At 45.4% G+C, this 27,356-nt stretch overlaps 1 protein-coding gene and 1 long non-coding RNA gene across 3 annotated transcripts, besides 2 other annotated features; one reads left to right on the forward strand and one right to left on the reverse strand.

Annotated features, from left to right (window-relative positions):
- Positions 1–1,343: 1,343 nt before the first annotated feature.
- Positions 1,344–6,299, reverse strand: LOC124903846 (uncharacterized). The gene is made up of 2 exons (XR_007065472.1): positions 5,825–6,299; positions 1,344–2,415 (listed from the first exon to the last, which is right to left on the reverse strand). It is a non-coding gene; the product is annotated as an uncharacterized LOC124903846 (long non-coding RNA).
- Positions 1,925–3,124: an enhancer, noted in NCBI's record as "BRD4-independent group 4 enhancer chr1:12763477-12764676 (GRCh37/hg19 assembly coordinates)". NCBI's record gives its function as "activates an origin of replication core promoter dependent on BRD2, P300/CBP, MED14 and CDK7 cofactors, and independent of BRD4, by STARR-seq in HCT116 cells {active_cell/tissue: HCT116}" and the evidence as "EXISTENCE:reporter gene assay evidence [ECO:0000049][PMID:35650434]".
- Positions 14,035–15,234: an enhancer, noted in NCBI's record as "P300/CBP strongly-dependent group 1 enhancer chr1:12775588-12776787 (GRCh37/hg19 assembly coordinates)". NCBI's record gives its function as "activates an origin of replication core promoter dependent on BRD2, BRD4, P300/CBP, MED14 and CDK7 cofactors, with strong dependence on P300/CBP, by STARR-seq in HCT116 cells {active_cell/tissue: HCT116}" and the evidence as "EXISTENCE:reporter gene assay evidence [ECO:0000049][PMID:35650434]".
- AADACL3 (arylacetamide deacetylase like 3) lies at positions 14,560–27,210 on the forward strand. Of its 2 annotated transcripts, NM_001103170.3 has the most exons (4): positions 14,560–14,794; positions 17,925–18,141; positions 19,333–19,396; positions 23,672–27,210. In NM_001103170.3, exons 1-4 carry the CDS (start codon positions 14,627–14,629, stop codon positions 24,444–24,446), a joined length of 1,224 nt encoding a protein of 407 aa, NP_001096640.2. In that variant the 5' UTR covers positions 14,560–14,626; the 3' UTR covers positions 24,447–27,210. The 2 variants fall into 2 exon arrangements, 1 of the variants encoding a protein (NP_001096640.2); NR_111984.2 differs by lacking the exon at positions 17,925–18,141.
- The last annotated feature ends 146 nt before the right edge of the window (positions 27,211–27,356 follow it).

The following is a 27,356-nucleotide window of genomic DNA, read 5'->3' on the forward strand; positions in this document are numbered from 1 at the left end:
TAAATGAAAGATTTTGGGAGGGGGAGATGACCTTGATGATGTGCGTGGGCTTGATGTAGCCATAAAAGCCATAAAGGTCCTTCTAAGAAGGAGGCAGGAGAGCCGAGTGATTTGGGGAATGGATCACGAGTCAGGAAATGCGGGTGCCTTCTAGAGGCAAGAAAAGGGAAGGAAGCCGGGATGAGCCTCCAGAAAAGCCAGCCCTGCTGACACCATTTTTTCTTTTTTTTGACAGAGTCTCACTCCATGGCCCAGGCTGGAGTGCAATGGTGCTATCTTGGCTCAAGGCAACCTCTGCTTCCTGGGCTCAAGCAATTCTCGTGCCTCAGCCTCCCGAGTAGCTGGGACCACAAGTGTGTGCCATGACGTCCAGCTAACTTTTGTATTTTTAGTAGAGACTGGGTCTTACCATGTTGGCCAGGCTGGTCTCAAACTCTGGACCTCAAGTGATCCACCCGCCTCAGCCTCCCAAAGCACTGGGATTACAGGCATAAGCCACCACACCCAGCCTCTGGCTGACATCTTAACTGTAGACTTCTGACCTCCAGAATGGGAGGAACATATATTTTAAGCCACTAAGATTGTGGTAATGTGTTACAGCAGCAAGAGGAAACTAATACAGACTGGGTGTGGTTGCTCATGCCTGTAATCCCAGCATATTGGGAACTTGAGGCAGGAGGATAACTTAGACCAGGAGTTCGAGACAAGCCTGGCCAATGTGGCAAAACCCCATCTCTACTAAAAAAAAAAAAAAAAAAAAAAAATTAGCCAAGCATGGTAGCCTGTAGTCCCAGCTACGTGGGAGGCTGAGGCACGAGGATCACTTGAATCTGGGAGGTGGAGGTTGCAGTGAGCAGATATCACACCACTGCACTCCAGCCTGGGTGATAGAGTGAGACTCTGTCTCAAAAAAGAAAAAAAAAAAAAAAAGGAAACGAATACAGCCTCCCACCTCCCTTCCTCTATGTACTTCTCAACATTAATCCAGAAATGGAATAGGAGACAAGGAGCTAGAGACCAATCTATCCCAGTGCTGGAGTGCTGGACATTGTCCGTCTGCCCCCTGGGGTCCCTTTGTCCCTCTGTCCTCCCTCCACCTGCTGTTTGCCCTGGGAAGCCGACCTGGATGGACCCCATTGGCAGCCTCCTTTATCCTTGCCTTTCCAAAGGGTTTGGGCAGTGGGTATGTCTGAGTGAGAGCTTAGGTGTGAGCCACCGTGCCCGGCCTGAATGTATACTTAGAACATGAAAAGAAATCATAGCCAATTACACATTTTTAAAGGCTGAGCATATTACAAACATCATGAAAATTCCAAAAGTAGGATTTAAATGCCTGACACAGCTTTATACTACAGGTCAGGGACCCCAAAACTTCAGTTTTATTCACACAGAAAAAAAAAAAAAGGACAGTGATACATGAAACTGAACACGTAGTACTTGGGCAAGTAAAGAAAAAAGATTTTTAAAAATCAGGAAGTGTGAAGAGCTGATAGATGACTCTTTGGTCATCAAGCAAAATCTTAGCCCTAACCCAGATTTGTGACCCAGGTGTCTACTGTGCAATGAGCTGGAGCTCCTGCTCAGGTTTGCCCCTGCTGAGTCAAGCTTTCCATAGGGGCTGGATGGCAAGTAGGTCAATAGTGTGCCCTTTGAGCGCTGAGAGTTTTCTTTGCCAATTGAAATGGTGGCACTGTGCAAAATAAGAGGCCCCAAGAAGGCCTTTCTTGGAGAAGAGGTCCCCTATGACTTCCACTTATGAGTTTTCTGACCTTGGGGAAACTACTTAACATCTGTGAAGCTCAGTCTCCTTATCCATAAAATGGGCACAAGAATAGGATCTCCCTAAGGGTTGATGTGGAACGAAGTGTGTTAACACATGTGAAGAGATTGGCACAGCACCGCACTTGAAGCAGGGATCTCAGCTTCCTTGTACAGATGGAGAAACTGAAATCGTTGAGAGAGGGTGAGTGAATTGCCAGCATCATAGTGCTTCTTTGGGGGCAGAATTTGGAAAGGCAGCACAGGCATCTGTGTTCTTTTCACCGTATTGTCTCTCCTCTCAGTGGTGGGAACACACAGCTCAAGGATCTGAATCAGCAGCATTACTGGGAGATGGTCTTCTGCCATGCACTCAGAAGATAAAAGCAAAAAGGAATAAGCCATCATTATGCAGAATTAAACTAAATTTAGACTCGTGTGTTGCAGAAGTCCCTCAAAGCCTTCCTGCTTTCATTGTAGTAATATTAATCAGGAGAGGCCCTCTGCCTAACCCACAGTTCTGCACCTCAGTAGCTTCACACAACAAACTTGCAGAGCTCGATCCTGCCACAGCTCACACAGATGATTCTGGCTGGGTCCTCTCCTGGACAGCTCACCTCCAAGAATGGTGCAGATGTTATATGTAAAGTTTTGGCACTGCAAAAGAAATGGCACTTGAATAAAAATTTTTCTTCTCAGCAAGGCAATTTACTTCTATAGAAGGGTGCACCCTTACAGATGGAGCAATGGTGAGCACACACTTGGACAAGGGATGGGAAGGGGTACTTATCCCTGGTGCACGTGGCCCCTGCTGCTGTGTCATCCCCTTATTGGCTAGGGTTAGACCACGCAGGCTAAACTAATTCTGACTGGCTAATTTAAAGAGAGTGATGGGGTGAGTGGTTTGGCGGGAAAAATGAATGAGTCAGGGTGGAGCAGGTAATCAGAATGAATGAGGTAATTGGAATCAGTCAGGGCAGAGCAGGTAATCGGAATGAGTCAGGGTGGAGCAGGTGATCTAAAAAGATTGCTTTACGAGGAAGTTAAGTTTAAAAATAGAAGGTAAAAAATTGAACATACTGACATATTGATTCATTGAAGAGAAATTTAGAACTCATATCTAATAATTCCTTCTTTTTGCATTTTCCTTACAGTTCTTTCTCTTCAAACTTTTTTAACATGTCTTGGCTTAGTTGTTCTGCTTGATTTTCCAAAAGAAGAAGCTTCTCTGGATAAGGTGGAGAATAGTTAAGGGAGGTTTTAGTAAGTGCCATATCTATGAGCCTCTGCACCAATCCACAGATGCATGGTATGACACACCACTCGACAAGAATTAATACAACCATTATGGCTGTGAGGTAAGTAAGAATTGAGGCTGTTATTCCTTTCCATTTACTGAGCCACTTTTCTAGCCATCATGTAAAGGGGTCTTTTACCCCTGAGTTGTTGGCTAACTCATTGGACAGAGCAGTCAGACCTTGGAATGCCTTTGTTATACTTCCATCAGGGGCCGTGTTGTTTGGGATGAAGGTACAACATTGAGTTTTAATCATGATGCAAACTCCTCCGCTTTCTGCTAATATCACGTCTAGGGCTATCCTATTTTCCAAAGCCATCTGGCTAGTGGCCCCTAATTGCTCAGCTATTCCTTTAACAGCATCTCTAGTGTAGCTAATAAATCGCTGTTAGTTGTAGTAGGTGTAGTTTATCCAATCTACATTGTTATTAATTGCCACCCATCGAAATATTGACTCAAATCCTGCAGCTATTTGATTTTGGGCTTTAAATTGATCTGGTATTCCCCGTGGGACTCCAATTGCATCTAAATAGATGTGAGAGTCAAAATACTCATAAGTGGTTTCTCTTGCTTTACAGTGTCTTATTTTTCCTTCCTCTGGCTGGTGAAATGCCAGGGTGAAAGGATAGCTGTAGGGAGACCCCCTGAAACTATTGCTATGGAATAAAAGATGAAATGCTCCTGATTATTGTAAATACAAAATTGCATTCAGGATTGTGTAAAGACAATGCCAGGTTGGACTGCCAGAATGAGCCAACAGCACGTGATGTGCTTCCCCCTGAAGAGAGCCTATGAATGGACGTGCAGTCAGGGAGGTTTCACATCACCAAGATTCCTATCCCAGAAAAGCAGATGTTCATAGCTCTGGGAATGGAATGTGACCCTTGTGGAGAGCCTATAAATGGATGCATGAGGGGTGCCTGTCCATATGGATAAGATAGGGCTATAAATGCCCTCATCTTGCCATGGCTCTTCTAGGCCTCTTTAGGGTTATGGCATACTCCTTTCTGAGAATTTCTGGTCTAACCAGTTGTCTAGCTTCACGTCCTGTTTCTATGAATTGTTTGTAACCAGCTTTTGCTGCTACTGTTACTGCTGATTAATATCTTGCTAATCATAGGTTATGGAAAGACTGTTTCTGTTTTAAGGCTATGTTAGAAATTACTGATGCACACACTATATTGTAAATTCTTACCTTGTATACTGTACTTCTGCATACAGATATTATGTTGAAGAATTACTTCATCCCCATGTGACTATCTCACCTCATAATCAAATGACCCTAAGTCCCTCACTAACCTACCCCCACCCTCACTAAACTTGATAATAAATGCTGGTATATCCAGTGCATTGTTGGCACCGCAGGACCAGAAGGTGGTGACCCCTTGGACCCAGCTTTCGCTATGTTGTGTGTCTATTATTTCTTGAACTGCTGACCTGCCTGGGAACAAAGAAAGAGCCCCATTGCATTGCGGGCTGCTGGCCAGATCCTGCAATAGATAGCCAATTGGACTAAAGCACAAGTGCCACTCCAGTTACTCAGCACAGTGTCCAGTAAAGGTCCACCACAATACCACCACACATCCACTTGGGGATGAACAAGGGCTGACTGATTGGTAAGCTCTTGAAAATTCTTAAGCTCACTGCAACCCTTCAGGTCTCCAAGGAACGCTAAATTTCCTCCCTGTCATGAGATACACGAAGTGAATTTAGTGTTGGGAGATGGAAGCTAGATTGCCCTTGGGGGCTGACCCACAGGGTGTTGAACTTCAGGATATAGCAGAGAGAGAGAGAGCTTGGCACAACTTGTTACCCCAGGCTGTAGTATCCTGGAAAAGAGCTACCATTCAGCCCAAGCCCAGTCGACTGGAGGACCATCCTAGTGGACAGGGGACAATCTGGCCCTCTGGCCTGCCATGCACACAAGGATAACAGTTGCTTTTGTTTAACGTGCAGATGGAATATTTGATCCCTTCCAACCAGGCATTTGCATCTTGGTCCTGTCTCAATTGCCAAAGTTTGTTTTAAGTCTTTAATTTCTATGATAGCTACCTTGGTTTTGTTGTGAGATGGAGGAGGAGCACTTGTTCCATTGTGAGAGGTTTTGGAAGAAGGTTTAGAGGAAGGTGCAGGCAGTGGGGGATCAAAAAAATGCATTTCAAAGAATCCAGTATGCTCTGTCCCTGAAACCTCTGCCCCTATACCATAAAACCAGCTTAAAGAAGGGAACAGGCTTAGAAAAGGGGAAAAGCTTTGAGGGTTTGACATAACCTCTATGGGATTGCACTGGTTTAGCTGACAGTTAGGGGGGGCGTCCCTTTAGTAAAATGAATGTATGGTTTTAGGAAATTACAAAAACCCATAGGGGCAGTCCATCCTTGCTCTTTAGTGGTCCACAGAACGTTGGACCAACTACAGCATAAAAGCTCCACATTGGGGGCAAGATTCCTGGTTGACACTGGGGTCTTTATCAAATTCTCCCCGGATTAAATGGTCCCAATTCACTAATACCCAGTCTGAGGAGAGCCAGGAGGGACAGAGGTACTTTTCTGAAGTAGAGAGCTGTCTTTGACTTGGCAAGTCCCCACAGGGTATAACAAGGCAAGCATTGAATGCAGTAGTTTGAGGCAAAGTTGACTTGGTTATGTTAATAACTAGATGGTCAGCAATAGAGAGAAGGAAGAAGAAAGAGTAATAGAATAGATGAAAGAGAGTTAAATTCTTCTTAGCTTTAGTTTGGTAGGGTTTTCCCCTGGGACTATGGCCCACCAGTCTGGAGGGGGTGGCACTTTCTTGACTTGGGTGTGATAAGTCCATCCTCTCTCTGCCGTGTGGACTATGGTTTCAGTAGTTAGGAGCACTAAGTAGGGACCTTCCCAGGCTGGCTCGAGCTTCTCCTCTTTCCAGCTTTTGATGAGGATGTGATCCCCAGGCTGATGTTGATGCACTGGGAACTCCAAGGGTGGCGCCTGTGCCAATAGACCTTTAGTTTTAAGAGAAGAGAAAGTAGAAGATAGACCAAGTATATAATTTTTGAGAAATTGATCTTTTGTTTCAAAGGTAGGAATATCAGCAGTAGAGTTCAAATAAGGCAATCCGTAGAGCATCTCATAAGGAGAAAGACCAATATCTTTCAGTGGTGCAGTTCGAATTCTCAGCAGGGTGATAGGAAGACACTTGGTCCATGGCAATTGAGTCTCTAAGACTAATTTGGTTAAGTGGTCCTTTAAAGTCTGATTCATTCTTGGCCTGGTGCTGTGGCTTATGCCTGCAATCCCAGCACTTTGGGAGGCTGAGGTGGGTGGATCACGAGGTCAAGAGATCGAGATCACCCTGGCTAACATGGTGAAACCTGTCTCTACTAAAAATACAAAAAATTAGCGAGGCATGGTGGTGGGCGCCTGTAGTCCCAGCTACTTGGGAGGCTGAGGCAGGAGAATGGCAAGAACCCAGGAGGCAGAGCTTGGAGTGACCTGAGAATGTGCCACTACACTCCAGCCTGGGCTACAGAGCAACACTCCATCTCAAAAAAAAAAAAAAGTCTGATTCATTCTTTATACTCTCCCTGATGAGGGTGGGTGCCAGGGAGTATGGTATTCCCATCTAATGTCTAATGTTTGGGATAGCCTTTTAATAATGTGTGTGGTGAAATGAGTTCCAGTGTCTGAGTCAATATTTTATATTAGTGCAAACCTGGATACTATATTTTCAATTAGGGCCTTAACTACATTATTGGCTGTCACATTTGAAAAGGGGATAGCTTCGACTCAATGAGTGAGGTGGTCTATTATTGCTAGTAAATATTTTAGATAACCTATTGGAGGCATTTCTGTGTAATCAACTTGGATACTTTGGAATGGCCTTAGGCCTGGATTCCTTCCCCTGAGAGGTAATCTTTTTATAGTTTGTTTATTAGTTTTCTTACATACTAAGCAACTATCTGTAACCTGTTTGGCCAGGGTGTAAATTCCTATATAACCATAAACTCTGATAACTTCATCACACAAGGCCTGGGGCCCCCAATGGGTCCCTTGATGTAGTTGGGATAAGATTTCCCTCATAAGGGATTTAGACAGCGTTTCTCTCTGGTCTGGCAATACCCATTTTCCTACTGAATTCTCTTTAGTGCCTATTTTTATTAGTTTTTCTTTTTCAGTGGAAGAGAAAATGGGGATTACGGTAGGAGGAGGGAGGTAGGGAGTTAAATGAAAAATACGTGTTTCAGAAGACACAGTAGCATGTTTGGCTACCTCATCTGCTAGGTTATTTCCTTGACTTTCAAAAGAAAGTCTTTTCTGATGTCTGGGAACGTGGACAATAGCTATTTCTTCCAGCAACTGAAGATTGTTGAATACTTGGCTATTAGCTCCTTGTGAACAAGGTCTTGACCTTTACTATTAATGAGACCTCATTCAGTCCAAATTTTCCCAAACATATGGGCCACTCCAAAGGCATACCTGGAATCTGTATAGATGGTTCCTTCCTGGTTATGCAAGTACTCTAAGGCTTGGCTGAGTGCAAACAGCTCACACGTTTGAGCAGACCAACAGTTGGGCAATTTTCCTGACTATTTCTGCAAGAATTTCTCCATCAATCACTGAATACCCATTGTGTCTTTTTCTCTCAATCACTCAGGAGGAACTATTTATCAATAAGTGCTGTCCAGTCTGGAAGGGAGTTTCTCCTAAGTCTGGTTGAACCTTTGTGTGGTAATCAATTAAATCTAGACATGTGTGTTCCCTCCTTAAATTTGGATTCTCTGTTAGGAAACCTGCTGGGATGAGTCAATTATCAGTGGTTAATGTGAAATCATTCTTTTCTAACAGAATGGCCTCATACTTTAAGATTCTTGAGTCAGTAAGCCATCTCCCTGCTCTCTTGTTTAAGATAGTTCTAAGTTGGTGAGGCATGTTTACTGTCAGTTTTCCTCCAAAGGTTAACTTTCTACATTCCTCAACTAATATTGCTGTAGCCGTGATGGACTGGATGCATTGAGGCCATCCACAAGTGACTGGGTCTAAGACCTTTGATAGGAAGGCCATGGGCTGCCGGCGGCCTCCATGTTCTTGAGACAGCACTCCTAAAGCTACCCCACTGTCCACATTAACAAAAAGGTGGAATGGATTTTCTAGGGAGGGTAAGGCTAAAACGGGCAGTTATGAGCTTTTCTTTCAGCTCCTCAACTTGATCAACTTCCTCAGAATTCCACAGGAGACGGTTAGCCTTCTCCTGGGCAAGTTTTTGATATAACAATTTACTGTGCAGTGCATATGAGTCAGTCCATAAGTGGCAGTATCTGACTAATCCTAAAAATTTCCTGAGTTCTTGTTTAGTTTGAGGCAAGGGTAAGGACACGATTCCCTTGATTCATTCAGGCCCTATTCTTTGCTTGCCTGCACTTATTAAGTGGCCTAAATATTTAACTTCAGGCTCTACATACTGAAGCTTTCTTTTTGAGACTCATAGCCCCTCAAACTGCAGATGGTTAAGAATATGTGTAGAGAAGTCAGTCTTATATTTTCACCAGATATAAGAAGATCGTCCACGTACTGGAGAAGGCATATTTGTTCTGGGATGAAAATTTTTTCTAATACTTGTTCTAAAATTTGGCTGAAAAGATTAGGGGAGTCTGTGAACCCTCTGGGTAAGACTGTCCATCAATATTGTTGTTTCCACCCTGAGTGGGGATCCTCCCACTCAAAAGCAAATATAACTTGGTTGTCTTCAGCCAGGGGACATGCCTAAAAAGCATCCTTCAAATCTATTACAGTAAACCATTGATGATTATATGGAATCTTGCTGAGAATAGTGTAAGGATTGGGGACAACAGGGTAGGTAGTCTGGACTATTTTGTTAATAGCTCTAAGGTCCTTTACTAGTTGGTATGACCTGTCTGATTTCTTGACTGGCAGTATTGGGGTGTTATAAGGGGACATACAGGGCTCAAGAAGCCCATCTTTAATAAGACCTTGAATTATAGGCTTCAACCCTATCCTACCTTCCAAGGGAATAGTGTATTGCTTCCTTCTTACTACTTCTCCGGGGGTTTAACTTGATGTGGATTGGAGGGACTCAGAGTTTCCCTTGGTTCCCGTCTTTGGACCACACATTAGGATTAATATATTTTTCATTTGCAGTGGTGAGTAGGTTTAATGAGGTGAGGAATCCTCTTGGACTGACTTGTAGACCTATGCTCAACTTTAACATTAAATCCCTTCCCAATAATTTAGTTCCTGCTTCAGGGATTAATAAGAACTGAATATGAGCTGAGTGATCCTGGTATCTAACTTCTAAAATTTTTGCTCTAAATCCTTCCCCGTTTACCCCAGAGACTTAAAGTTCCTCTGAGGAGGAGACATTAGATGGGGGGAAACAAACAGAGGAGCGAGTGGCCCCTGAATCGACTAAAAAGGTGATAAGCTCATGTTTGGGTCCCACCTCTAAATTTATCAAGGGCTCCTGGTGGGACTCAAGAAAAAAGAGACAGAGCCCCTAACTCCCCTATTCTTCCTCAAAAGTCATGAGTGGAAGGGCTTCTTTTTCCTTTCTTAATTCAGGACATCCTCTCTTGAAGGCCTGTTCTTCCACATCTATAGCACCTATCTTTCCCTTCCTCCCTCTTAGTTCTGGGATTCTTTAACCCTGCTCCCACAAACTCTTTAGGGGGCCTGGCAGATGAGGGCTTTGGTCCTCCAGATGGAGACTGGGGTCTTTTAAAGGAGGGTTTGGACCCTTTATAGTTTTTGGCTCCCTGGAAACTCTGTCTAGAAGTACCTGGATTTGGAGCCATCTGTTGGAAGGTGGATAACATAAGTTTTGTCTTTTGTTTCTGTTTTTCTTTGTCCCTTCTCACATATAATTTCTGAGCTTCCCTAAGCTCACTTAGGGGACAGTCTTCCCAATTGTCTATTTTTTTAGCTTTTTTTGAAATGTCTGGCCAACTTTTAGTGACAAATTTGAGTTTCAACATTCCTTGCCTAAGGGGATCATCCAAATTGAGGCATGCATATTGCCTCATTTGCTCTCTTAATCTGTCCAGGAATCTCAGAGGCCCTTCATCCTTTTCCTGTTGTATATCAAGTGTTTTAGAAAGATTTTGGCTTTGGGGTACTGATTCCTGAATTCCTTTTATTATTATCTCCCTTAGGTCCTGCATATTTTCCTGGTGATCTGCGTTGTTATTGTCCCACTGGGGGTCTCGGGTGGGGAATTTCTGGCCTGCAGTAGGAATGTTTTCACCAGGAGGGTGCTCACATTCCCAAACTACCATAGCAGTCCTACGAATCATACTCCTTTCTTCCCCTGAAAAGAGGGTGCCCAAGATGAACATTAACTTGGCCCAAGTGTATAACTGAGGTCCTAAGAATTGGTCAATTTGGTCTGTCACTCTGTAAGGGTCATCTAGTAGTGGTTTAAGCTCCTTTTTAAAATTCTGGACTTCTGAACTGGTTAAGGGAACATTTTCAAAGCCAATGGCCCCCTACTCCTTGTGGTACCTCTTTCAAATGGAAGAGAATTGGGACTGACCCCTTAGGTATGGAGGGAATTGGGAAATTCTGAATATCTTTTTTTACATTGTTCTACCTCATGCTGGATTCCTTTTAGAGAGGGGTAAAAGTATTTAGGTTGGGAGGGAACAGGCTGGTGGGATGGTAATTCCCAAGAGTCAGTAAGGAGGAGGGGTAACGTGAGTAGAGGAAGGATTTGGAATGGGATATGAGGCAGCAGTAGCTGCCTGAGGGGAAGGATTGGGGATACTGAGCAGGGGAAATAGTCTAGGGGATTCCATGCACTGGAATTTTTAGGCATGAGAGCTGGCTCCTCTGACTTTTCATTTTGAGTGCCAGATTGGGTTTTTAAGGGAAAAAGGAGGGCAGGCCCTTCCCTCCAGCAAAGAGCATAGCCTAGTTCTTCTTGAGACACTGAATTTTATAATTAACATATTGGATTAGAAGCTGACACATTACATCCTCATTTGACCCAAACTTTGGCCAGAAGATTGAGGGTTTGAGGATGGGTCCCTGAGTCCAAATAAAACATCAATATTTTATCGTTTTTTTGCTTTTTCTTATGTTTAGTCCTTTCATTATCCTTCCAGTATTTTAGCATGAGACCTAGGGGGCTCTCTGGGGGGATATCTTTGCTACTATCTTTATCCTTCTTGCTCCCTATCTTGCTTGGGGTATTTCCCATATTGATGGTTTTGGGGTAAGGTTCAACTTCCCTTACTGGAAATTTCTTGTCTTTTGGGGTGAGGCTCAATTTCCCTTATTGGAAATTTCTTGCCTTTTCTACTACTGGAGGTTTTTGTGAAGTTCAATCCCCCCTAATGGAGATGTCTCATCTCTTTTTAACCTCTAAGCCACCCCAACAAAGGAGTACTTCACCGCCCCCCCGCGACATTCTTACCTTGGTCCCAACCAACAAGGAAATACTTTACCAGCTCCTGCAGTGTCTTTTCCTCGGTCCATGTGCAGACTTTAGTGGCCATTATGGAGGATCCTTTACCCCAGGTTGCTGGCCAGTTTCTTTCCACATTGCTGAGAGCTCGGGTTATTTCTCACATGGGGTGGGTCCTGATTTTTCACCCCTGAGGCCCTCACAAGGGGGCAGGGTGCGCCTCCTCCTGAGACAGAAGCAGAGACCGCTCCTGGAGGGAAATGTAATCCTGGACGTATAAATTGAGAAGCTTAACAGAAGATACAAGGTCCAAATAAAAGAAGGAGAAAAATAAGTATTAAAGGACTAAGAATTGGGAGGACCCAGGACATCCAATTAGAGAGTGCCCAAGAGGGTTGAGCATAATTACTTGCTTGGTTGGTGAGTTTTTGGGAAAAGACCATTAGTCCGTTTTACCTTTCCTGACCATATCCAGGCCATCACCAATCATTCTATATGACAAATGCTCCCTTTAACAACCCCACAATATTGCCCTTTACCACAAAATCTTCTGTCAGCTTAATCTCTCCCACTCTAAGTTCCCATGCTGCCCCTAATCCCCCTCGAAGCAGCCCTGAGAAACATCACCCATTATCTCTCCATAGTACCCCGAAAATTTTTCACTGCCCCAACACTTCAACACTATTTTGTTTTATTTTTCTTATTAATATAAGAAGACAGGAATGTCAGGCCTCTGAGCCCAAACCTGCATGTATACATCCAGATGGCCTGAAGCAAGTGAAGAATCACAAAAGAAGTGAAAATGGCTGCTTCCTGCCTTAACTGATGACATTCCACCATTGTGATTTGTTCCTGCCCCACCTTAACTGAGCCATTAACCTTGTGAAACCTTCTCCTGGCTCAGAACCTCCCCCACTGAGCACCTTGTGACCCCCGCCCCTGCCCGTAAGAGAAAAACCCCCTTTGACTGTAATTTTCCACTACTCACCCAAATCCTATAAAACAACTCCACCCCATCTCTCTTCGCTGACTCTCTTTTCGGACTCAGACTGCCTGCACCCAGGTGAAATAAACAGCCTTGTTGCTCACACAAAGTCTGTTTGGTGGTCTCTTTACACAGACACGCGTGACACCCAGCACTTTGGGAGGCCAAAGCGGGTGGATCACCTGAGGTCAGGAGTTCGTGACCAGCTTGGCCAACATGGTGAAAACCCATCTCTACTAAAATAACAAAATAAAAAATAACTAAAAATACAAAAAAAATTAGCTGGCATGGTGTCACACACCTGTAGTCCTAGCTATTCGGGAGGCTGAGGCAGGAGAATTGCTTGAACCCGGGAGGCGGAGGTCGCAATGAGCTGAGATTGTGCCATTGCACTCCAGGTTGGGTGACAGAGAGAGACTCAGTCTCTCTCTCTCACACACACACACAAATAAATCAATAAAAATAAAAATTAGATGGGCATGCATGGTGGTGCACACCTGTAGTCCCAGCTACTCCAGAGGCCGAGGTGGGAAGATTACTTGAGCCTGGGAGATGGAGGCTGCAGTGAGCCAAGATTGCACCACTGCACTCCAGCCTGGGTGACAGCATGAGACCCCATCTCAGAAAAAAAAAAAAAGAAAGAAAGAAAGAATGCTTCAGGCTGGCTTCCTGACATCTAATTAAGTCTTCCCACGTGCCAGACTCATACTAGTGCTTGACACAGGCTGGTGTTCTTGAGGCAGCCAACAGTCCTATGGAGTGGGGAGTACTATTATTATCCCCATTTGACAAACTTGGAAACTGAGGCTGATTGCACATAACGTGCTCATGATCAGCATGCTGGCATTTGGCAGAGCCAGGATTCAAATTCAAGTGTTGCAAATGCAGGGTTTCTCAACCACCATACTATCGGCTTGCTGGACTGCATAAGTCTTTGTGCATTGCAGGATGTTTGGCAATATCCCTGGCCTCTTGTCTATGACACTCTAGAACCAGCCCTCTGGCCCTTCCTGAGTGGGGACAACAAAAATGTTTCTGATATTCCCATATCTTCTGGGAGGTAAAATCTCTCCTGTCTGAGAACCACTGCTCTCTCACTCAAGCTGGGAGGCGGGAGACACAGCAGATATTACTATTGTTACTGCAGATGTGGGACTTGGTTGTTAGGGAAGATTTCCAATGGTGACATCAACCTCTGACCTGACCTGGAAAGGCAAGCAAGCACAGTTTCCCAGATTTGCAAGAAAGAGGAAAGCAAGCACAGTTTCCCAGATTTGCAAGAAAGAGGACAAAGCCTGTCTATTCATTCTCTCACTCCATAGGCATTTGCTGAGCACCTACAAAGTACCAAGCCCCAATCCAGCCTCTGGTGATAAAATGGCACAAAAAGAAAATTCCTGTCCTCCCAGACAATAAACAGACAAGTGAGGCAGGTGATGATAAAGGTCACAGGGAAAAACCAAGCAGTGGGGGGGTGAGGAAGGTGGGGGATGGGGAAGATGGGGGATGGGGAAGGTGGAGGATGAGGAAGGTGGGGGATGTGGAAGGTGGGGGGGTGGAAAGGGTGGGGGATGGGGAAGGTGGGGCTGGGGAAGGTGGGCGTAGGCATGCTGGCGGGAGTTAAATTTTAAATAAGATTGCCAGGGATGGCCTCACTGAGAAGGCAACATTTGAGCAGAGACCAGCAAGAGGGGAGGCATGGAGTCTAGCCGAGGTCTAGGGGAAGAATGGTGTACAGAGAATGGCTTGCCGTACAACAGCTCTGGGACATCCTCCACAGGCTGATGGATGGATGATAAGCTGGAGTTGAATCACAGAGTGGGGGGATGAGGTCCGAGGGCCGGTGGGAGGAATCGTGTTTATGATGTCCATTGTGACTTGGTGGCTTATCCAAGACTATTTCTAGTTAGCAGTGCCAGATTGTAAGCTGGGACTCTAGAACTTTCTTTTGTGGCTGGATCCGGCTGGATGGGCCACTTTCTTCTCTGCATGGGCCCTGTCCTAGAACCACATCCTCACCTGAGCCTGTGACTCACCTGGGCTGGGCCAGTGTTTGTGGGACCCAGGGAGGTGGGGGAGGACAGGTGTGACTTATAAGTGGAGGAGGTCTGCTGGCTCTGAACCATGTCCTAAATGGTTTACACTGCGCACAGCTTCCTCTCAGCCCGCTCTGAGCTGGAAGCAGCATGTGGGACCTGGCCCTGATCTTCCTCGCAGCAGCCTGCGTGTTCTCACTAGGGGTCACTCTGTGGGTCATTTGCAGCCATTTTTTCACTGTGCACATCCCTGCAGCGGTTGGCCACCCTGTGAAACTGAGAGTCCTCCATTGCATCTTCCAGCTGCTGTTGACTTGGGTGAGTTTTGTGCTTTATGTGTCCCCTCCAGCTGACCATTAAGGAAGGCGGCAGGAAAAATCACACACCGGAAGCTTCTAGCTGAATGAACACCGGTATCATGGGGCCTGCAGTGACAGCTGATCAGACCTTCTGAAATGTGCATAATCCCTATTAGGTGGTTCTCAGCCTCTTTGGGTGTTTCTGAAGCTGGCCCTGGCTAATATTCACAAAATTCAAAGAATGATCTGCTTTCTCAGTTAACAGAAAGAAAAAACCAGTCTGGTTCTATTCACCTGAGTGTCTCCCGCTGACTTTCTTTTTGTTGTTGTTGGTTTGTTTTATTTTTAAAATTGAGGTAAAATATGCATATAAAATTTACCATCTTTCGCATTTTTAAGTGTACCTTTCACGTGTCCATAAATGTGTCCATATTATTCACAGCACTCACCACTCTCAGAAGTTGTGAAGATATGAATGAATTTTCCTGAGTCTCTGGGCCCCCACTGCTATCTACCTGTTAGCTAGAGCCAGCAAGCCACAAAGTAAAAGGGTAGCGGATGAGTAGATTAGTGCCGGTGAGCAAAATTACAGAATGTGACTTTAAAAATATGTTGTTGCTTTTGAGAGCTAGAAAGCTGCCTAGGGAATATAGTTTGGTTCTGCTTCTGGTGTAATTTGTTAAAATACCTGTAAATGGAACTGTGTAGGTGTTGCCAATACGGATTTCTTGTACTTTTTCTTGTGCCTTGACAGAAACTGAATATACAAAATATTTTTTGTAAGTTTCTTACATAACGAAAAGCAATTGCCAGTGCCTCTTCTCAAGAGACACCCTAGGTGTGTCTTCTATGCTATTCAAAATAATTTCTATGCTATTCAAAAGAATGTAGCTATTACCTAAAAGAGAAGATCCCGGGAACTCTAGGCTTCTGATCTCCAGTCAGCTTTTATAAGATGCAGTGATTGGGTCCTAGGTTTTCCTACCCTTGATGCTCAGATTCTGTAGTCCAGGCTCCCAAATACAGTGACTCGATTTCCTCTTTTGCAAAGTAGGGAAAATTGCTCCTACTTCACAGGGTTTTGTGGAGACTCCATGAATAACCCTCTCCAGAAGGCTTATTATAATGCCTGACACAGAGGGAGCCCTCCTTAAATAGTAGCCATTGTTACTCTTTGTTGATTCTTTTATTTTTTATGCAAAGATGTGTTATGCAACTGCTGTGTGTCCTACGCCAGTCCTGGGCTCTAGGGCCAATGACAGGTGAGAGAGGTAAAGTTCCACAGGTCTGCCTTTAGGGAGCTTGTAGGGTCCAGGCAGTGGGCAGCGGGGAAGTGGTCTATAAAGAAGCTAACCCACAATAGAACAAGCTACAGATAAACAGCTTCCCAAAGCGGAGAATGCAAGGAGGACAGCAAAACCCGTCAGGGGAGCCGAGCAGGGCTTCTCTCCTGGGGCATCTTGAGCCCCCGGGGCCACAGAACACAAGGGGGTCATGGATTTGGATCACAGAACATAAGGGGGTCATGGATTTGGGTCACAGAACACAAGGGGGTCATGGATTTGGATGGGGTCAAAATTACCCCATGTTCACAACTAACTTCCAATTGAAATTCTTCTCATGAGGAATGAAGGCAACAAACCACAGTCCTGAAAGCCAGACCTCGACTTTTCACCAAGAGAAATCAGACATATTTGCATTGCCTATTAGATATTGCGAAAACTCATGTATTCTCCTCATTTCTTTGAAACTAGGGTAGTATCAGGCAGCAGTTAGATCTTATTACTCTATGTGCTAGTAAGGAAGAACCTATATTATTATGACATACATTTTAATATTTTGATAAGTATATTTAAATAACACTGCTTTTCTTTATAATCCCATGTATTTATTTTATGTATTTAAAAATGTTCTGGGCTGGGTGTAGTGGCTTACACCTGTAATCCCAGCACTTTGGGAGGCTGAGGTGGGAGGACTGTTTGAGTCCAGGAGTTTGAGACCAGCCTGGGTGACATAATGAGGCCTCTTCTCTCCAAAAAAAAAAAAAAAAAAAAAAAGTTCTCAAATGAGGCCTGCAGCTTTTCCCAAGGCCAAAATGGCTGTGGCACAGACAAGGATTAGGAAACACTGGAAAGGATACCCAGAGGGAGAGCCCTCTTTATTTACGTATTTTTAACTCTTTTTTTTTGAGCTGGAGTTTTACTCTTGTTGCCCAGGCTGGAGTGCAATGGCATGATCTCGGCTTACTGCAACCTCTGCCTCTAGGGTTCAAGAGATTCTTCTGCCTCAGCCTCTCGAGTAGCCGGGAATACAGGAGCCCACCACCACACCCACCCGGCTAATTTTTGTATTTTCAGTAGAGACTGGGTTTCACCATGTTGGCCAGGCTGGCCTTGAACTCCTGACCTCAAGTGACCCACCAGCCTTGGCCTCCCAAAGTGCTGGGATTACAGGTATCAGCCACTGTGCCTGGCTGTATTTTCAACCCTTTATGCAAACTTTGACATATACCAAAGGGGAACAGGGTGCCCACTCTCCAGTGTCACCATCACTGACTCCTGGCCTGTCTCCCTTCCCTGTGTCCCTAAATGTCTCTAACTTTTCCCTCATTTTCATTTATTTAAGAAGCCAATGGACATCATATTATTTTATCCTAAAAATTTTCAGTAGGCATTTTCAAAAGATATGAACTCCCCCTTCCTGTTTTTAAAAAATGTACCCACACTATAGTTAGCTACACAGGCTTGGGGTGGCCAGATTGGCTGGGACGGCACAGGAAGGCCTCCCTGGAAACAGATGTTGCGCCCAGGCTGAGGTGGAGCAGGGCCTCGTGGTGGAGGTGGGTGTTGCAAGTAGAGGGACCATCAAGGGTGCCCAGAAGCCTGGCTTGTAGTGGCTGCAGTGGAAGGTGTCAGGAGAGTGGGTTGAGAGGGGCTGGCTGGTGCTGTGGCCACCTGGGCCTGCATGGGAGTGGATTTTCCTGCAGGTGTCCTGAGGGAACTGAGGGCTTGAGTAGGGCTGTAATCCAATCTGACTGCAGTTTCCAAAAACTCCTTTTGCCACCTGTGGAGGGCAGGTTGTGAAGGCCAGACTCCAGATGGCCTGTGAAGAAACCCATCTCGACCCATCATTTCTTCTCTCTCCAACAGGGGATGATATTTGAGAAGCTCAGAATCTGTTCTATGCCCCAATTTTTCTGTTTCATGCAAGATCTGCCTCCGCTAAAGTATGACCCCGATGTTGTGGTCACGGATTTCCGCTTTGGGACAATCCCTGTGAAGCTGTACCAACCCAAGGCATCCACCTGCACCCTGAAGCCTGGCATCGTGTACTACCACGGTGGCGGGGGCGTCATGGGGAGTTTGAGTAAGAACCATTTTCTCAGACCTCCTAAAGGGTGGTGGCACCCCTTAACATAACTTGGAAGAATGGGCATCTTCCTGGGACTTAAAGTATGCTATTATTATCAGGGAACACCAGGGCAGTTCATGGTTTGCAGATCATTGAGGGGGCAAAAATATGGCATATATTGCCCTCTTATGTATCTCCTTATTTACATAAATGTAATCCTTAGTTAAATTAACAATACTGTAATATAAGGAAGGATACTGTAAGGTAAAGATCCTGAAATGTACCCTTACTTGCATTTATATGTGTACATATGTATGTACATATAAATGTATACATGTATATTTCACTATTTTACTTATAATCACCACCTCTATTTAGTTGGAAATAAGGATATTTTAAATGAAAAGAATTAAAACACAGCATTTTGTTTCACATCAGGTTTTGCTAAGACAAATTCTGGTACAGACAGACAGGAAGATTTGAGAAAAATCAATGAGAGGAAAAAGTCACTATTGAGACAATTTTACTGTCTTAGTTATTACCCCCAGGGAATTAGGGGAGAGGAAACACCTTTATTTGCTTTCAGTAGTGCTTTCTAATCTGTGGAATGCCAGGGTCCCAGTGTGGGAGCCTTTGAGAATAAAGGATTTAATGCAATGGTGGTGTGGTTTGGTCTGTATGAGAATGATAGTAACAGCCAATATTTATTAAGCAATATTCATTAATATTACTAATTACATGCAGGCACTGTGAGAACCCTATATGTGGATGATCTCATTCCAACTCCAACACTCTACGAGTTAGATATTTTCATTACCCCAGTTCACAGATGAGGAAATCAAGCCTCAGGAGGTTAAGAGACTTGCTAGGCACTATGTTAGCTCAAGCTAGAAAGGGGCAAAGTTGAGATTTGAACTCCAGTCTGAATCCAGAGCTCACACCCTAAACCTCTGCGTTCTACAGTCAAAGAGCTTCACAGATATTTTTAATGGCTTGTAGGATGGATTGGAGGGTGGGCGTCTTAGAGAAAGTTGTTCAGGCAGTACCACGAAGGAGAATCAGTGAGAAGATTGACCGGAAGTTTGCTGGAGTAGAGGAAAACCTAGTCGGCATCGGCCCAAGTGCTGTGTCTGTAGGAAGAAGACGGTGACAATGGCTGGCAAAGGAAGCCTTCCTAGTGAATCTTAAAAACCATTTATTTTCTAGAAACCCACCATGGCATATGCTCTCGTTTGTGCAAGGAGAGTGACTCCGTGGTTCTGGCAGTTGGGTGAGTAAAGGGGAGATCCCAGGGAGCCAGCAAGGAGCAAGGCTCTGATGTGGAGAGATGGGGTGAGAAGTAGAAATGGGGGTGGGGGGTGGGGGATGGGAGCAGATGGGAGCTGGAGGAAGCCCAGAGGTGGGGATGGGCTGGGAGAAGCCAGTGAAGAGAGAAAAAGAAGGCGGCTGGGTGTGGTGGCTCACGCCTGTAATCCCAACACTTTGGGAGGCCACGGTGGGCAGAATGCTTGAGCCCAGGAGTTCAGACCAGCCTGGGCAACATAGTGAGACCCCATTTTTACAAAAAATACAAAAATTAGCCAGGTGTGGTGGCATATGTCTGTAGTCCCAGCTACTTGGGAGGCCGAGGAGGAAGAAGCACCTGAGCCTGGGAGGTTGCAGTGAGCCGTGATTGCGCCACTACACTCAGCCTGGGTGACAGAACAAGACCCTGTCTTAAAACAAACAAAACAAAACAAGAAAAAGAGAGTGAAAGAAAAATAAGGGGAGGTGAAGAGAGATGGAGAGACAGAGAATGGGGAACCCCTTCCTCTGTGCATGTGGGCCTTGGGTTTGTTTAAACAGAGGCGTTTTGTGCATTTTGAAGCTGGGTAGGAGGTGGTCTTTTTTAAGCAGTTCAGGTGCAGAGTTTCACTGCAGGAACACTTGGACAACATAGCTCTTCTTTGAGTAAAACAACCCTGCACCTCCTTCTGCTAAATGCCTGTGGTACCCCGCACCATCACTCAAACAACCCGAAATGCTGCCACGTTCACTTCCAAGTGCTCCCAAAAGGGAGGTCCCCCTGGCTGAGACCCACTGAAGAAAGTGAGAAAAACAAAAACAAAAACAAACCCATTGTCTCTCCTAACAGATCTCTGACAGTCACCGCCCAGCCTGGAGCCTCAAAGAGGGCGTGGTGGGCATGGGGTCCCCTGTCCTGCTGCCTGATGCAGCATCACACACGTGGTTCCTCCTGGTTAAGTTTCCCTGTAGTTTCATTTAAAGGTACACACTTTAAAGAAATATCAGTTCTCTGCATCTCAGTGGGGGTACATCTGCCAGCTTTCTTGTGGCACAGCTACCTGAGGTGAGTAGAAAACGAAGAGATGAAGCCGGGTGCAGTGGCTCACGCTTGTAATCCCAGCACGAGGCCAAGGTGGGTGGATCACTTGAGGCCAGGAGTTCAAGACCAGCCTGGCCAACACGGTGAAACCTTGTCTCTACTAAAAATACAAAAATTAGCCAGGTGTGGTGGCATGTGCCTGTAGCCCCAGCTACTCAGGAGGCTGAGGCAGGAGAATCACTTGAACCCAGAAGGCAGAGGTTACAGTGAGCTGAGATGGCGCCACTGCACTCCAGCCTGGGTGACAGAGTGAGATTCCGTCTGAAAAAAAAAAAAAAAAAAAAAAATGGAAAAGAAAATGAAGAGATGAGATGAGAGAGAGACCTGGATAAACCCCTGACTTTACAATTCTCAGCTCCAGAAGGGTTTCTACCATGGGATCATGGGATGTTGCCGGACACCTTGTCATTCTGATTGTACCAAACCAAGAGATCGTCAGTAGAACATGCTAGCAAGTCTCTGCCAGAAAGTTCTTTTCTAAATCCAAGGTAGACAGGATTTTGGAGTTAAGGGCATTGCTTTCCAGGATGTCCTATTCCCGGGTGGCCTGAAATGGGGGTATGGAATGGAAACAGCTGATGGAAGTTTTGTTTGTTGCTCCCATAGAGTGTTTCTTTGTCTTTTTTTTTTTTTTAATTTGTGACCAGCATTTAAAAATAGTGAACTTTCTCACAAAACCTGGATTTCTGGAATCTCTTAGCAATACCAGGTAGGCAGGGCAGCCATGGTGTTGAGTGTGCATAGCTTGTTTGGAAGAGTGCTGTGTATCTCTGGCCTCTGGTGGTACAGTCAGTCCTCAGCAATGTCGACAGGTTCTTGGAACTGTAACTTGGAGTGAAACCAATTTTACCTATTACAAAACCTAGGCTAATTGATATAGACAGAATCAAGCTCTGATGGTATAATTCTGGTCACAAAAACACCAGCTAATTTATTTAAAAATTTTTTAAAAATTTATTTTACTACTTTTATGTTTTATAATTTTCTTTAGTAGAGACGAGGTCTTGCCATGTTGCCCAGGCTGGTCTCAAACTTCTGAGCTCAGGCAATCCTTCTTCCTCAGCTTCTCAGAGTGCTGAGGTTATAAGTGTGAGCCACTATGCCTGCCCTAACCTTCTAAATAAAGAAAAACACCTGCTAATATTAAAAATTGAAATAAAAGTGAGCTATACATATATTTTTAAAAGATTAAAAAAAATAATAATTATTTACCCAATTTTTGGTGAATCAGTGAGTGATGGTGGTCATTCTGGTGGTGGGTTAAATCTAGGAATAAATGTTTACAAGGTAAAAATTGTCAGGAGTACCTCTGACTGTCTCCCAGTTCAAAACCACTCACAAATGTGGCAGCCTCATTGAGAGCTTCTGTACTGCATCATTTATTTTTGTGTAGATGTATGATTATTGTAAACTTTATGCATTTTTTTGTTTTTGAGATGGGATCTCACCCTGTCACCTAGGCTGGAGTACAGTGGTGCGATCTCAGCTCACTGCAACCTCTGCCTCCTGGGCTCAAGTGATTCTTGTGCCTCAGTCTCCTGAGTAGCTGGGACCACAGACACACACCACCACGCCTGGCTAATTTTTTGTATTTTTGGTAGAGGCAGGGTTTCACCTTGTTGCCCAGGCTGGTTTTGAACTCCTGAGCTCAGGCGATTCATCTGCCTTGGCCTCCCAAAGTGCTGGGATTATAGGCTTGAGCCACTGTGCTTGGCTGACTTTATAATTTTTTTTTTTTGAGACAGAGTTTCACTCTTGTTGCCCAGGTTGGAGTGCAAGAGCGCGATCTCGGCTCACCACAACTTCTGCCTCCTGGGTTCAAGGGATTCTTCTGCCTCAGCCTTCCTGAGTAGCTGGGATTACAGGCATGCACCACCACGCCCGGTTAATTTTGTATTTTTAGTAGAGACGGGGTTTCTCCATGTTGGTCAGGCTGGTCTTGAACTCCTGACCTCAGGTGATCCACCTGCCTCGGCCTCCCAAAGTGCTGGGATTACAGGCGTGAGCCACTGCACCCGGTTGGCTTTATGCATTTTTATTTTGCAATAATTTATATTCCTTCATCTATTCCTTTTCCAACTCACTTATTCTAGTTCAGGGTCGTGGGTGGCTGGATCCTATCCCTGCAGCTCAGGGAACAAGGCAGGAACCAACCCTGGACAGGACACCCACCTATTGCAGGGCACACTCACACCTACAACCACATTCACTTGGACCGGGACAATTTAGACATGCTCATGAATGTAACATACACATCTTTGGGATGTGGGAGGAAACTGGAGGACTGGGAGAAAACCCACACAGACATGAGGAGAATGTGCAAACTCCACACAAACAGTAGTAGCCCAGGCTGGAATCGTTTTTCTTTCTTTCATCAATATAATGAAACAATGTTGAATGAAATGACATTATTTGAGACCCTGCTTTTTTTTTCTTCTTTGAGACAGGGTCTCACTCTGTCACCCAGGCTGGAGTGCAGTGGCATGGTCACAGCTCACTGCAGCCTCAACCTCCCAGGCCCAAGTGATCCACCTGCCTCACCCTCCTGAGTAGCTGGGACTACATGTATCCACCACCATGCCCAGCTAATTTTTTATACTCTTTGTAGAGGTGGGGTCTCACCATGTTGCCCAGGCTGGGCTTGAACTCTTGGACTCAATGGATCGGCCCATCTCAGCCTCCCAAAGTGCTGAAATTAAAGGCATGAGCCACCGGCCTGGCCAACCTGCTGTATTTAAGTCTACAAGATCTCCCTTAACAAAATCTGTAGGTATGGCATGATTAATTAAAAACCCAAGCAGGTCTTGAAGTTGCTCATACAAGAATCATAAAACAGGAAGCAGGAGCAGGTGAGTCAGGGAAGCAACATGAGGCAGGTTCAGGAAGATGGGGCTAGTGTGGGTGATATTTACATTGTTGGCCAATTGGTGGATGTCTCGTGACACAGGTCCCCCATTAGGGCATTGAGACAGTAGGAATGGCACCTGCCTAGGTATGTGGGCTTTATGTGTCTCATCTCATTTAAGCCTCACACCTAACTTTAACTGCTCAAGTTTCACAAAGGGAAGTGAATGGACTAATTTGGGCTAAAAGATGCTAGACGCTGATATTTTGGATCTGCCGGGGCGTTATCAACTGTGTTTCTTGATTCCTTTTTAGTTACCGCAAGTTACCTAAGCATAAGTTTCCAGTGCCAGTAAGAGACTGCTTGGTGGCCACCATCCACTTCCTGAAGTCCCTGGATGCATATGGAGTGGATCCAGCCCGGGTTGTGGTCTGCGGTGACAGTTTCGGAGGGGCAATAGCCGCAGTGGTTTGTCAACAACTTGTGGACAGGCCAGATCTGCCCCGGATCCGGGCTCAGATCCTGATCTATGCCATTCTCCAAGCCCTGGATTTACAAACCCCTTCGTTTCAACAGAGGAAAAACATCCCACTGCTCACCTGGAGTTTCATCTGCTACTTTTTTTTTCAAAACCTGGATTTCAGCTCCTCCTGGCAAGAGGTCATCATGAAAGGTGCCCATTTGCCTGCTGAAGTCTGGGAAAAGTACAGAAAGTGGTTGGGCCCAGAAAACATCCCTGAGAGGTTTAAGGAGAGGGGTTACCAACTGAAGCCCCATGAGCCCATGAATGAAGCTGCTTACTTGGAAGTAAGTGTTGTCCTGGATGTGATGTGCTCGCCCCTGATTGCAGAAGATGACATAGTGTCTCAGCTCCCGGAAACCTGCATCGTGAGCTGTGAGTATGATGCTCTCCGGGACAATTCACTGTTGTACAAGAAAAGGCTGGAAGACCTGGGAGTGCCCGTGACCTGGCACCATATGGAGGATGGTTTCCATGGAGTGCTCAGGACCATTGACATGAGCTTCTTGCACTTTCCCTGCTCCATGAGAATTCTGAGTGCATTAGTTCAATTTGTAAAGGGACTGTGACCATCTTTCTTCTCTGCTGGTACTGCGGTGTGGATTCCACTGGCATCCAGCCTCCCACAGGGCTCTCTGTTGCTGATTTAGGTGGTGCATAGTGGGGCTAGGGAGGGGGTAGAGGTTGCTGTCACCTTTCTGGTCCAGGTTCTAGAACCACACAATGCATGCTCCTGATGTCCAGAGGACGTGGTAGAAAAGACAGGTTTGGAGGTGGGAGTGTGGCTGTCTCTATTCTCTGTTGGGAAAACCTGGGCTGACAATATTCAGTGGCCATTTGTGGGAGTGAATCAGCCGGTAAGAGCTGTTCTCAGCCTCCCTAAGGGGCAGTTCAGGCTCCCAGATTGATCCAGACTGTGTGTGACTTTCGTCCATTTGACTTGACTTTGGAATAGCACAAGGGCATCATGTACTTCACGAGGCTTTCCCAATGTGGCTCAGAGGCAGGAGCTCTGATGCTCTGGGCTGCTGTGAGGTGGTGGTGGTGGTAGAGAAACTGGCTTCACCCACCTACTCTTCTGTGAACAGTAGTGACTTTTCCCGCTGTTTCTCAGCCTCTGGGATCAGAGTCTTCACTGTCTGGGCTGGAAACTTTAAGATAGAATGGATAGAGCTTCCACAGTGGTTGGCATCTAGTGGTGGATGAAGACAGCCTGCAGCTGCCCGACTTGGGGAGCTCTGGAGCTCCTGGAATCAAAGCCTGTCTTCCAACCAGAAGCCCCAAGGCAATGTTCTAAGAATTTGAGAAGAGAAGTTGGGAGGGAAGTGGGGTCCTGAGTTAGAGACCCATGAAGGCTGAGTCTAACCAGATAACCCTGTCCACAGTGCAAAGTCAAGACAGCCAAAGGAACAGAAGATGTATTTGTGAAAACTATTTCTTTTTTAAGACATGGAACCAACTCAAATTGGCCTCTATTAGAAAGACAATAGATTGGCTTAGGTAGGGATGCATGCTAGGCATACATCAGGCAAGGTTTGATCCAGGAACTCACACAGTGCCATCAGCTGTCCTGTCTTCTCTGCTCTGCTCTTCTCTCCTCTGTGTTAATGCCACCTTCTCCTCTTCATACGGTGGCACTGAGCAGCTTCATGCCTACCTTCCTCCAGGGTCAAGTTCATTATCATGGACTTGCCTCATGCTCAGCAGTCCCAGAAAAAAGCCTAATTGCAACTTGATGGCTTTGTTGGCTTTCTGAGCAATGTGTCCAGTTGCCACAGTGAAGGGAATGGAATAATCTAACTCACCATTCCCAAGTCCTATGCCATCCTGAGAGTGGGGGGTGGAGTCAATTCACCTTGGTGCTTGGACTAAGCATGAGGTGGTGAGTGACAACGTTCCTAATTGAAGGGTAGGGTAAATGGTTGTTGGGTGGACACCAACACTTATTCTACTACAGAAGCTAAATTGAACCCTCAGGCAGGGTACGTGAAAGTGGCAAGAGATGTCAAGACCACTGGGCAAGTTGGCCAGTTGTTCCTTAGGAATGAAAATTCTTTTGAAAGGAATGGCCAGGGTCCTCTGCTGGCCCCACTTGGTCTTCTGGAGGCTCTGATCTTGGTTGGTTAGTGGTCTTTACAGGCCAAGGTCAAGGCCATTGCACAAAAAACCCTGTGCATGCCCTTAACTTGCTTTCAGTTGAATATTTGGGCTGAACTATGAGGCAGAGAGGAATCCCATTGGGTGGCTCCTTGCTGCATTCGCAGTTGACCAGCATGGGGTTTGTTGGAGAAATAGGAACCATCCCCTGAAAACACACACTATGGTAGCCACTCAACTGTTGAAAGGCACTGGAGTCCAATGGGTGAGGCCGCCTCTGAGACAAGCCTCTGAGTTGAGGCTGGGAGAGGCTCCCTCCTTGGAGTGTTGCTTTTTTTGTTTCACCCCTGCCTCTGGAGATGGGTAGAGGAACATGAGCTGACCTTCTGGGAAGTGAGGTTGGTGAGGAGTTGCTGAGGCACTGCAGGGCCATGCCCAGTAGAGAGGAATGTATAACATTTTAAGAGGCTGAGAGCACCCCTTGTTGGGCGCATGCCCATGGCAGCTTCCTTCTGCCGATCATGGGAGAAATCAAGCACTTTCACCTAATGGCTAGATGATTGATTTTGGGATGAAATTCTCCACTCCTCTCCTTTACCACATCACCACTATCCTTCCTGCAATACATCCACGAGACTCACTGAGTGGAAAAGGGATAGGAATGAATGTTCACCCAGGGCCAGCTACATGCTAGGCACTGTACTGGACCATTTAAATTTGCCACCTCTTATGTTCCTCACATTAATCTTACAGAGTAGGTACAGACATACCTATGGATATTGCAGATTCAGTTCCAGACCACAGCAATAAAGCAAGTCACATGAATTTTTTGCTTTCCTTAGTGCATGTAAAAGTTACATTTCCACTATATTATAGTTTATTAAGTGTGCAATAGCATTATGTCTTTAAAAAGCATGTACATACCTTAATTTAAAAATACCTTGTTGCTGAAAAATGCTAACAATCATCTGAGCCTTCAGTGATTGCAGTAGCCTAGGCTACTATTTTCTATGTGGGGTTTGCACATTCTGCCCATGTCTGCGTGGGTTTTCTCTGAGTTCTCCAGCTTCCTCCCACATTCCAAAGATGTGTATGTTACATTCATGGGAATGTCTAAATTGTCGTAATCTTTTTGCTGGTTGATGGTCTTGCCTTGATGTTGATGCTGCAGGTGGTGGTTGCTGAAGGTGGGGGAGGCTGTGGCAATTTCTTAAAATAAAATAAGACAACAGTGGATTTGCCACATCAATGGACTCTTCCTTTCATGAAAGATTTCTCTGTAGCAGATGATGCTGTTCAATAGCATTTTACCCACAGTAGAATTTCTTTCAAAACTGGAGGTGGTCCTCTCAAACCCTATGCTACTTTATCGATGAAGTTTA

This window comes from Homo sapiens, chromosome 1, assembly GCF_000001405.40.
Source record: "Homo sapiens chromosome 1, GRCh38.p14 Primary Assembly".
Lineage (NCBI taxonomy): Eukaryota > Metazoa > Chordata > Mammalia > Primates > Hominidae > Homo > Homo sapiens.

Excerpts from the sequence above, each read along its gene's own strand:
- AADACL3 (NM_001103170.3), top strand. The coding sequence starts at position 14,627 with ATGTGGGACCTGGCCCTGATCTTCCTCGCAGCAGCCTGCGTGTTCTCA. Across the intron at positions 14,795-17,924 it reads TCCAGCTGCTGTTGACTTGG|GGGATGATATTTGAGAAGCT; the intron begins GTGAGTTTTGTG and ends TCTCTCCAACAG. Across the intron at positions 18,142-19,332 it reads GGGCGTCATGGGGAGTTTGA|AAACCCACCATGGCATATGC; the intron begins GTAAGAACCATT and ends TTTATTTTCTAG.